Source organism: Homo sapiens, chromosome 22 (assembly GCF_000001405.40).
Source record: "Homo sapiens chromosome 22, GRCh38.p14 Primary Assembly".
NCBI classification, from domain to species: domain Eukaryota; kingdom Metazoa; phylum Chordata; class Mammalia; order Primates; family Hominidae; genus Homo; species Homo sapiens.
This window is the reverse complement of record NC_000022.11, coordinates 29,968,583-29,980,706: the sequence shown is the minus strand read 5'-3', so window position 1 is coordinate 29,980,706 and position 12,124 is coordinate 29,968,583. Positions and strand designations below refer to the sequence as shown.

Sequence of the window (12,124 nt, the reverse complement as noted above, 5' to 3'; positions counted from 1 at the left end):
CCATCAACCAATAAACTGATAAATACAGGATGATATGAGAAAATGCAATGATATGAAACTATCATTCTCACATGCAATTTAATTATAATTTAATTCCAGCAATTCAAACACTGAAAGAACACAAAGTTAAATTGGGCAGTTCTACTAAACACTACTATCATTACTTCCACAGTAGCTGGTGGGGAATTCTCAGTTGCTGGGATTTTATAGGTGTTTCCCCCCTTTCCCCTCCCCATCACGACTACTCAAATCCAAGTGGACCCTTCTGAACAGAGTGCTACATAGTATGAAAGAACAGCATTGCCTCTTTCCTTAATGAATCTGGTGTGTATCTTTAGCTGATAGACAGAAAACTGATGTAACTGCTATAATCATGGCCCAAATCTAGAAGCCAGAAGGGATTCAGGCCAAAACTGCTCCTGGACATAAATGCTTAACTACAAAGAAGAATGATAATAAGAAGTAAAAAATGTCAACTACCAAAAAAAAAATGACAGCCACTGAGTCTTTTTTTAATTGCTGAGTAAAACGAATGAACAAGATTTCAAAGAATCCCAAAATGAAGCCAAAACACAGTCTGCATGGAATTACAGTCCTGAGCTGTTTTAACGTGTCATAATACACTTCTCTGTGCTGGAAGTGGAGTGTAGAAAGCCACAACACTGGCAAGTAAAGAAGGAAGAAGGCATTTGCTGTAAGTACATGAATTTTCAAGCCTTTATTCGTTTCATTTAAGGCTAATGATAGCAGAGCACTGGAAGAACCAGTTCACTGAGAGGACATTCATAACTGAAAAGGGTAAATGTACTCTTGAGAATCAAGAGGCTTCCTTTTCTTCAGTAATACATAGTCCATTATGCAAATCAACATTATACTTAACATCTACACTTATACCACCAAGGAGTCATTAGAGTAACCTCATGCTGTAATGAGAGTCTGCAGTGAGCTCAAAGTGCATCTCATCTTTTGACATTAAGGCCAAGGGAATTATCTCAACTGAGGCAGTTGGTAACTACTAAAGATTGCAGAATAAAAGCCCATTCAGCCTTTATACCTTTATAAAGCTTAATGATACAGCATTACCTAATGCAAATCATTCACTGTTAAACTAAACAATGGACACCTCAGCTGACAACTACACACATCATTTTAAATCAAGCATAAGAGCTGCTTGCTGATCTAGTGTGTTTTGTTGTTGTTGTTTGTTTGTTTTTGAGATGGAGTCTTGCTCTGGTCACCCAGGCTGGAGTGCAGTGGCGTGATCTTGGCTCACTGCCAGCTCCACCTCCCGGGTTCATGCCATTCTCCTGACTCAGCCTCCTGAGTAGCTGGGACTACAGGCACCTGCCACCACGCCCGGCTAATTTTTTGTATTTTTAGTAGAAATGGGGTTTCACCGTGTTAGCCAGGATGGTCTCGATCTCCTGACCTCGTGATCTGCCTGCCTTGGCCTCCCAAAGTGCTGGGATTACAGGCGTGAGCCACCGCGCCTGGCCAAGCCAGTGTTCCTTGAGTGCTAAATTAAGTGAGAAAAGCAGAGCACATAATGCTTTCTCTCCCAATTCTGTATGCCTCTCCTCTCTTTGAGAGCATTAAGTTTTTTGACTTACTTTCTCCATTTACCTTAGAGGGAGAACAGCTGGTAATCACTTACATTAACAAGAGACTCCTTGAACTTGATGTGAAGTCTGTAATTGGAAAGGGCAATGATGGCATCCTCGGCACGGCCCACAAACTCTGTGCTCTCTCCATGAAGTTCAAGGAAAGGAACCTTCGAAATGAAAGAAACCCTTCAGAGTTCTGAAGCAGTTAAAAAAAAAAAAGCTTCAAACATCAGTTGGCTGAATGGATGGTAAATCCTCTGCCACTGAAGTTGAAAACACAGCACATAAGTAGATAAGGAAGCTAAAGAGGATGGGTTTATACCCACCTAATTCAAATATATCTAGTTATTCAAATTCTGAACTACTAAAGGAATGATACAGAGAAGATCATCTTAAACAGTGGATTCTCAGGAAATAAGTCTTGCTAAAATGAGATGTTTTCCAGCTTGCATTTCTACTACATGTATGTTATATATATATATAATATAGTACGTTACACTTAAATCCATTAACTCTGCTATACAGTTAATGCTAAATAAATATTTTACATTTAAAAGTGGCCTATAATTACCTGAAGATTCTCATCCTCCCGGATCAGCTGCTTCCTGGGAAAGATCTGATTGGCCTGGATGCACTCAAGGCTGTGCCGAGTCTCTTCATCCTGGAAAAGTCCAAAACCTTAAAATAATTTCAAAGCTTCTAATCATTCATATTTGGTTTTTCTGCCATATCTGCTAGCATAATCACAATGAAAGTACAAAGACCAAGGTGAACAGGCAGAAAAGCTCAAGGAAACAATATTGATCTTAAAAAGTTTTTCTATCCAATACATTAGTTACATCTAGTCTGAAAACACATTGATGCAAAAAAAATGTCAAAGAGGTTAGAATATTTCTATTAGGCACTAACAGCTTCTTAATACTTTTTTTTCTTTTTTTGAGACAGAATCTCACTATCACCCAGGCAGTGGTGCACTGGTAGTGTAGTGCACAGGTAGTGCGGTGGTGTAATCTTGGCTCGCCGCAACCTCTGCCTCCTGGGTTCAGGCGATTCTCCTGCCTCAGCCTCCTGAGTAGCTGGGACTACAGGTGCGTGCCATAACGCCTGGCTACTATTTTTGTAGAGACGGGGTTTTGCCATGTTGGTCAGGCTGGTCTCCAACTCCTGGCCTCAGGTGATCCAGCTGCCTCAGCCTCCCAAAGTGCTGCGATAACAGACATGAGCCACTGTGCCCAGCCCCACACTACTTTTAAGAGAAACCAAGATATAATGCTTTTTTCTCTTTAAGTTACGATCTTAAATTATTTGAGAGATACATACTGAAATATTTAAAAATGAAAGGTGACATTTGAAATTTGCTTCAAAATAACTGGGGCAAGAGTAAGGAAGAAGCGGGACATAAGTGAAACAGGACTATCTATGAATTAGTAATTCATGAAACTGGGTGAGAGTTCATTATCTCTACCATTGTGTCTACTCTGGTTATATGTGAAATTTTCATAATAGAAAGCTTGAAAACAATTTCTAAGAAAAAGTAAGCTTAAGAACTGAATTTCCCAAGTTGAAAATATATGAAAGACTATCCTTCATTTACTCTGCCTTATATTACAAAATAGATTTCTGTTAAGACAATTTCAAAAGAGGAAGCAATAAATTCTCATCTAGATGACATGTAAATTACAATTTGTATTAAAAAGTAATATTTTGCATTATGAATTTTTATGGTATAGGAAGACATGAGAGAAATGTCATCTATCACAAAGCCTGACTAAATTATAATAGAATCTGTTTACACAGCACTTTTCTTTTTTAAGTCAGGGTTTTGCTCTGTCACCCATGTTGGAGTGCAGCAGCACAATCACAGCTAATTGTAACCTCCAACTCCGGGGCTCAAGTGATCCTCCAGCCTCAGCCTCCCAGGTAGCTGGGACCACAGGCGCCCACCACCATGCCAGGCTAATTTTTTTTATTTTCAGTAGAGACAAGGTCTCGTTATGTTGTCCAGGTTGGTTTCAAACTCCTGGGCTCAAGTAATCCTCCCACCTTAGCCTCCCAAAGTTCTGGGATTACAGGTGTGAGCCACCAAGACTGGCCCCACACAGCAATTTTTAAAAGAGCAAAAGCCACATCATGTTCAACTGACAGCATTAAGAATTATAACCAGTGGTTACTGGTTGCTTCTGTGTACACTACTTAACACAATTCCAATAATTTTGTAAGTCTTCCCCCAAAAAGAGTTTTTCTTCTTATCTATAAACAACACTTAAGGTTTTACTAACAGCAACCATAATCATAAACTGGTAATACTCTACACTAGCATGATTCTCAAAATGAAGTCCACAGACTCTGAGATGCTTACAGGGGCCCTGCGAGGTCAAAACCTTCCCAATAATATTACGGTATTATTGCCTTTCTTCACTGTATTGACATCTATACTAATAGTGCAAAAAAACCTGGTAGGTAAAACTGCTGGTACCTTAGCACAATTGAGACAGTGGTGCCAATTTCATAAGAATGACCTTGATAAAGCAAGGAAATATTATAAATTCTATTTATTAAATCCTGACCCTTAAGTAGAAGTCTTTTTTACAGAGGAAATACAAGTAAAACACCTCTGATGTATGGTGCAATATTACGGTGTCACAAAGTAAAGCACTTGTGCAAATGCTTCAATTAAGAGATGAACTAGCCATTTTTTTTCATTGAGTATCATTCTTAATTGGAAGAACAACTGATGGAAAAACTATGGTAATGCAGACTTGGACATTTGGCAGGTCTTTTTTCCAAAAGACACTATTAGGAAAAAAACAAACAGTAACAACAAAAGATAGTATTAGTTGTCAATAATAAAGCTTTTGTGCAAAGATTAGATTTTGGAAAACCTCTCATCTCCCACCATGAACTTTATAGCTTCCTAGTACTTACAACTTTTATCTTTAAAGTGAAGGTATTACCAAGTGTGATTTAAAAAAAAAAAAAAAACACACACTATAATAAAATGTCAACTTTTGAAGATCTGCCTCAATCAACGAACCCATTATTTTCCTAATGACCAATGCATGTTACAAAATCATATGTGGATAAAAGATTCACTCAAAGTACAAGACAGACTAATGGTTTTAATGTAATATAATACAAAAAGTTCACTGATATGGTTTCAGATTCTACACTGCAACTAACCTTTAAAGAACCACCACTGGCCAGGTACACGGCTCATGCCTGTAATCTCAGCACTTTGGGGGGCTACAGTGGGCAGATCGCTTGAGCCCAGGAGTTCAAGCCCAGCCTGGGCAACATGGTGAGACACCATCTCTACAAAAAATAGAGAAACTAGATGGGCACAGTGGCGCATGCCTGTAGTCCCAGATACTTAAGAGGCTGAGGTGGGAGGATCACCTGCACCTGAGGTGCACTGTAGCGGCTACAGTGAGCTGTGATTGCGCCACTACGGTCAAGCCTGGGCAATAGAGCAAGACCTTGTGTCAAAAACAAAAAAACACATCACTTGTCAAGTTTTGGTTTGGTATTAAAGAAAAATATAAATTATCTGGGAAAACTTAAAATACTCTTCCTTTTTTTAACTACTTTTCTAACCACGTATCTGCCTGAGGCTGCATTTTCTTTATATATTTCAAAGAAAACATTGTAACGGACTGAATGCCGAAGTAGATATGAGAATTTACCTGTCATCTATTAAGCCAAATATTAAAGAGATTTGCAAAAATGTTAACACTAAAACTATCTTTGGATGAGGAAAAATATTTTTCATCAAAAAATGTTATTTATGCTACTATATAATTGGTTTGTTGTTACTTTTAAATGAATTTATGAGCATTTTAAAGATTTCTCAGTTTTATTTTCTAATATGGTATAAACAGACATAACCCACATAAACAAACCCTCTTGGGGGTACCTCAATAATTTAAGAAGTAAAAAGAGGTCTGGAAACCATCAGAGCTGCTTCTCTACTATACTCTAATACTAAATACCAATTAAAGCTGCTTCACTCCAAAAGCCAGGCTTTTCCTAAAACCATTCTCCTAGTGCTAATCTATGAAAGGTGAGCCATGATTGCACCACTGCTCTCCAACCCGGGCGACAGAGTGAGATCCTGTCTCCAAAAAAAGAGACCAAATGAAAGATGTGAAGAATCTTCAATTTAGGGAGATTTTTCTCATAAACCAATATGGGATAGTAAGGAAATGCTATGTAAACATGGAGGGGAGCAAAAATCTTACATAAAAGTATACTTTTAACATAACTTCTCAGCATCACATTAACTTTTTACCTCACATAAACTCATAAGGCCTAGACTTTTATTCTGTGTAAGGTCATTTTACAGAGGTACCCATTATTAATCTTTAAGTGATTCCTTGACCTAGTTTTCTGCTGACTTTTAGCACAGAACTGAAGTAATGTAGCAGGCTTGTAAAGAACAAAAAGAAACCATTTACCTACTCACTCTTGCTGGCACACTCACCAGGGTGCTAATCCAGACCAATATGTATCACCAAAGTAGCTACTGAAAACTGAAAATGCATGATTTTCAACATAAAACAACTGAGAATTAGGCCAGCAAGGCAAGAATATGAAGTACTTATTTTTCATAATCAAACAAATGTTCTTTTTAAAAGCTATTGTCTCAATTCACATTACCTGTAAAGCTTCAGAACTTTTCTCCCCTTGTACACAAAAATGCATTTAATCCCCAAGGACGTAACATTAGGATTCATTGAATCTAGGGGACTGGTGATCCCATGTGGCTGAACAGTTGAATTTAGCAGTTGAATTAGCCTGAATTTATTATAGTTTCTGTGAGTTTCATAGGTGAGGAAGGCCAAACTTGAGATGGTTAATAAGGTGAGAAGTTGGAAGAAGATAAATTGGGAAACGCTGGTCTGGTAACAGTTTTGGAAACAAACGTATCCTAGCTATAAGCAGTAACTTATTAGAGAGATGTATTCCATGTCATTAATTTCCTGGTACTGCTGAGGAACACCAGGCATTGTGGCATCTGGCACTTCGTAGTCTCCATCCACCTCCATAAAGTCAGTGGGGTCATCTACAAAATACTGAAAAAGGGCCAGTCACCACAGTTCCAGGCTAGTTTCTGCTATTGGCTAAATTATGCAGCTAAGAGAGGAAAGTACATGCTTCAGAGCAGAAGTCAACCATAGAGATAAATATTTAAAGTACATGGGAAGGGCCGGGTGCGGTGACTCATGCCTGTAATCTCAGCACTTTGGGAGGCTGAGGCAGATGGATCACCTGAGGTCAGGAGTTCGAGACCAGCCTGACCAACATGGTGAAATCCCGTCCCTACTAAAATACAAAAATTAGCTGGGCGTGGTGGCAAGCGCCTGTAATCTCAGCTACTCAGGAGGCTGAGGCAGGAGAATCGCTTGTACCCAGGAGGCGGAGGTTGCAGTGAGCCAAGATCACGCCATTGCATTCCAGCCTGGGCAACAAGAGTGAAACTCCATTTCAAAAAAATAAAGTACATGGGAAGGAGAGACTGATGACCAGTCAATTAATCCTACTAACTGAATTCATATCTAGTGTTCGTGTTTGCAAAGCGTAGAAGTGAAAATAATTATCAGTCCTACTGTCATTTCCAGTCATATTCGTAAGACTGGTATTAGAAGACAAACAATACATTTCCCTTGATAAAATGCTTGGGATTATTGCCAAAAGGGTAGGGGTAAAAGAGGTCAAATGAAACAAGAATAGTCATGAATTTATGATTACTGCAGCTGAATGATGTTCATATGAGTGCACTGTACTTTTCTCTCTGCATAGGCTTGAGATTTTCCACAAAACATGAAAATATATTTTGCTAATGCTTAACCTCTCAAAGACAGACTCCAATCTCGTTTAAGAACCTTTAAGAGTATAAAAGACAAGGGAAAAATGTCACTCTCAAATTAGTACAGCGGTTTACAGTTAAAAACAAAAAGAATGTTCAATGCTCCTGAATTGTCTACACAAAAACTAAGGATTAAGGACATACACTCTAAATGCTATTATACAGTATATAATTAAAATCAATGGTTCAACAACTTGCAGAATGTTATACAGCTAGTAAAATGATCATTAGGAATCCAAGGAATCAACATGGGAGAATGTTTAATTCATTAAGTGAAATAAGCAAAATAGAAACTTAATTATTTTATCATTCTAACTATATAAAACATACATATGAGACATGAACTAGTTAGAAAGGAATATAACCAATGGGGCACAGCAGCTCATGCCTGTGATCCCAGCACTTTGGGAGACTGAGGCAGGCACATCACCTGAGGTCAGGAGTTCGAGACCAGCCTGGCCAACATGGCGAAACCCCGTCTCTACTGAAAATACAAAAATTAGCTAAGCATGGTGGCAGGTGCCTGTAATTCTAGCTACTTGAGAGGCCGAGGCACAAGAATCGCTTGAACCCAGTAGGTGGAGGTTGCAGTGAGCCGAGATCGCACCACTGCACTCCAGCCTGGGCAACAGAGCAAGACTCTGTCTCAAGAAAAAAGAAAACGGAATACAACCATGGGTTCTGGTGGTAGAGTTATAAATGAGAATTTGTAAAAACTTGTAACAATGCTACTTTATGAGAAACTAAACAAAAACAAAAGATACATACATGGCCATGCTACTCCCCAACTAGTACACACAGAATCAACTCCCAAGCGTTGTCTAAAGCATCAGGCCAGGGAAAACACCAGGAAGACTTTCTGCTAGGCACCATGGAGAACCCAGCAGCACCAGGAAGAGGACCACACTGTTACTAGCCGTGTGGTATACAATGAAGGACAAACCCTCAATACAGAACAGAGCTGCTTTCATAAGCCCATCATTTGTTATTCATTAGCACTGGCTGAAATACTAGACAAGCACTTTTTCAATTCATTGAAAACTCTGTGGGAAAACCAATAAAATAAAATATAATCAAGAAAATAACAGGAAAAGTTCATCAATGTTTAGGTATAAGATAAATCATAAAGTTGTAATGCCCACAAACTAAGAAAAAATTGGCATGCCTTTAAGATAAGGGCAGTTACCTTTCTCTTCCTTTTAATATGACATTTCTGCACAACTAGTTTTTTTGTTTTACTTTTTCTAATTTTGAAAAGCATTTTCCATACGTCCCTAATGAAGCTTGAAATTAATGTAGCCTTTTCAATTCCTTCTCTGTGCATCAGCATAAAACAGTTTGGATCTAGGAAACATCACAAGGTAGAAGAAGGACAATATTACAGAGGACCATTTCTTTTTTAAGCCTTGAAGCACTGTTTACATTTCCTCAGGATTGATGAAAATGTGGCTGGCTTGTTGCTCCATCTTCTCTGCTTGAGCTGGGCCCGAAATGGCCCGTAAGTCATTAAATTGTCCATTAAATTCTCTTTCTGGTTAAAGATACAGGAGGGGGTGTGCAGGGCTGCTCCACCTACTATGGGATCAAAATACTGCCTTAAAGAGACAAAACAGGGAAGGTAGGGAATTGCTTCTATAAATTCATAAAGCATATATACTATGTGAAGTAATACATATGTTAATCAGCTTGATTTAGCCATTCCACAAGGTATATATGTATTTCAAAACATTATGCTGTACACAATATATATGTAATTTGTCAATTTAAAAAAATTTTTAAGTAAATATGCAGATTACCATCTTACAATTTGTCTACACACAAACACACACACACAGTTTTCACTACACGCTACTTCCTAGAAAAGGAATTAAAAACCTGGAGTCCGAGAACTGTATGTTTTAGTCTTGATTCCATTTACTTGCTGACTGAAAAATAAGAGACAACATCTAGCTCACAGGATTAAAGTTAACAGAAATGAAACTGCTCTGTATATTGGAGTACTCTATTACTACTAAGTAAACAAGAAAAGAAAAGACACAAGAGATCTGGGAAAGAAAAAGAAATAATTTCTTACAAAAACAAAAATGGGTAAGTATGAATTTATTAGTGTTCACTTAATTGTCAGGACACAGGGTTTTTTGTTTTTTTTTTTACTCTTATTTCCTTGTACTTACCATGACAAGAGGCCCAGATTAGGAGGAGAAATCCCCGTCCCTTCTTCAGTGTCCAACAAGGCTCTCTTCTTTCCCTTATGGTGAAGTCTGGGGGTGGGGGGGAAGAGGGGGAAGAAGAAAAAAAAAAGAGGAGGGGAGGCAAAATTGGCAATAGTTTTTCCCCTAATCGGCCATATCCTCACAAAGGTATTGTATATACACAGGCCTAAGAAGCTGATCAGAGTCAGCCAAGAAAAAGTTGATTATCACCCAGCCAATTCCCACTAGTCAAATCCCAATTTGACAGTTCCTTTGTAAAACTCCTGTTAGTCTTAACCTGTTTCTGCAAAAACAGTATCAAAGGCTAACATTCCTAATGTTCGTAGTAAAACAAAAAATATCATAAAACTTGGATGAATAAAGCAACAATTAAAATCAACCTACAGGCCAGGCAAGGTGGCTTAATGCCTATAATCCCAGCACTTTCGAAGGCTGAGGCAGATAGCCTGAGCTCAGAAGTTTGAGACCAGCCTGGGCAACAGAGTGAAACTCTGTCTCAAAAAAAAAAAAAAAAAAAAAAAAAAAAGCTGGTCATGGCAGCACATGCCTGTAGTCCCAGTTACTCAGGAGGATGAGGTGGGAGGATCAACTGAGCCTGGAAGGTTGGGGCTGTAGTATGCTGTGATTACACCACTGCACTCTAGTCTGGGCAACAGAGCAAGACTCTGTCTCAAAAAAATAAATAACATCAACCTGCAAATGCAAAATCATTATTCTTGTAGTATTTTAGGATGTTTTTGTGGTTATCTCTAAATTCAAAATGGATCCCCCATCTGAGGAAACCAAACTGACTTACGAGCAAAATAGGAAAAATAAATTTGCCTTATTACCCAAATATTCTATGCTCTTCTAAAAACTTACAATCTGTACTAATACCTTTACCTGGTTTTATAAGAACAAAAAAGGGGGAAAGAATATCCAACTAGAAACCCAAAAATAGGCTTATACAAAGAGTAAGTAAGTTGCTCTTTTCTTTGAACAGTCTCATGCAAAACCAACATTTCTAGTTTGCTAAGCTTCTGTAACACAGGATATTTCAGGGAGTCTGGGCTTCAATGTGCAGCATAAAACTCTTTTAAGGGCAATGTAAGCAAGGGAACAAGAGAACATAAAAGCAGTAGCAAGGCCCAGATTGTGTTGAGGCATTTTGAGCAGAGGAATGGTAGGAGATGACTTACTCTAAAGAATCATTTTGGCCGGGTGTGGTGGCTCACGCCTGTAATCCCAGCATTCTGGGAGGCCAAGGCAGGCAGATCACGAGGTCAGGAGTTCGAGACCAGCCTGGCCAACATAGTGAAACCCCATCTCTACTAAAAATACAAAAAATTAGCAGGGCATGGGGGTGTGTGCCTGTAGTCCCAGCTACTCGGGAGGCTAAGACAGGAGAATAACGTGAACCTGGGAGGCAGAGGTTGCAGTGAGCCGAGATCACGCCATTGCACATCCAGCCCAGGTGACAGTGTGAGACTCAGTCTCAAAAAAAAACCAAAAAAACAAAAAAAAGAATCATTTTGGCTGTTGGGTAGAGAACAGTCAAGGCTACTGGGGGTAAGGGGCAAAAGAAGACCAATTAGAAAGCGTCATTAACCCCAGCAAGAGACAATATAGCAATGAAAAGGTAGTAGAGATAGAAGTGGTGGGATGTTACTGATTCTGGATATACTTTGAAAATACTGCCCATAGGATTTGAGTGGATTAATTAAATAGGATAGAAAAAGAGAAGTCAAGCTTTTTGTGTCAGCAACCGGAAGCAAGGATTTTCTATTTATTGATGAAGAGCATTGTAAGAAAAATCTATTCTTCTCGTGCCATGCAGAGACAGCTCAACGGACAAGGAACAAGAAATTAAAGTTTCCATTTTAGACACATTATGTTTGAAAACCTATCACATATCCAAACAAAGATGCCAAGTAAAGTGCTAGTTAAACCAGACTAGAGATCAAGAAGATGGAGCCTAGAGATATAAACATAAATGTGGGAGACATCAGTGTGTGAATGGCATTAAAGCCAAATGCAGGAGCAAGTATAAATGGAGAGGCTAAGATGACTAAGGACAGGGGTTTTGGGTGCACCATTTTTTAGAGGCTGGAAGGATGAGGAAGAACCTTATGGTTCAGTAACAGACCAAGTTGGAGTCATCATTCTTAACCACTCTTCAAACCAAGCCAAACTTTTGTGATTTGGCCTAGCTCAAGAACTGAAACTAATGTAAAATTATCTCATTTATTCATTCTTTTCAATAAATATTTATTCAATATTTTCTACACTCCATGCACTGTTGTAGACTTTGGGGACACCACTGTGAACAGAAATTCATGGAACTTGATTTTATTGTTGGTCTTTCTCATTAGAAACAAAGAAACAGATAACTAATGTTAAGCAGTAGGCAACTGCTGCAAAGAAAATTAAGCAGAGTTTGGTGATGGTGTAACAGAAATGCT

At 38.6% G+C, this 12,124-nt stretch overlaps 1 protein-coding gene across 3 annotated transcripts in view, besides 1 other annotated feature; it reads right to left on the bottom strand.

Moving 5' to 3' along the window:
• MTMR3 (myotubularin related protein 3) overlaps positions 1-12,124 on the bottom strand; it is a 147,695-nt gene that overhangs the window by 50,162 nt on the left and 85,409 nt on the right. For all 3 annotated transcript variants that reach the window (NM_021090.4, NM_153050.3, NM_153051.3), the window contains exons 3-5: positions 9,645-9,731; positions 2,176-2,265; positions 1,655-1,771 (exon numbers count right to left, since the gene is read on the bottom strand). In NM_021090.4, the coding sequence (NP_066576.1) occupies positions 1,655-1,771; positions 2,176-2,265; positions 9,645-9,647 (210 nt within the window). In that variant the 5' untranslated portion in view covers positions 9,648-9,731. The remainder of the gene's footprint in view (positions 1-1,654; positions 1,772-2,175; positions 2,266-9,644; positions 9,732-12,124) is intronic.
• Positions 928-977: an enhancer, noted in NCBI's record as "active region_18824". NCBI's record gives its function as "activates an Ori minimal core promoter by ATAC-STARR-seq in GM12878 lymphoblastoid cells {active_cell/tissue: GM12878}" and the evidence as "EXISTENCE:reporter gene assay evidence [ECO:0000049][PMID:35858748]".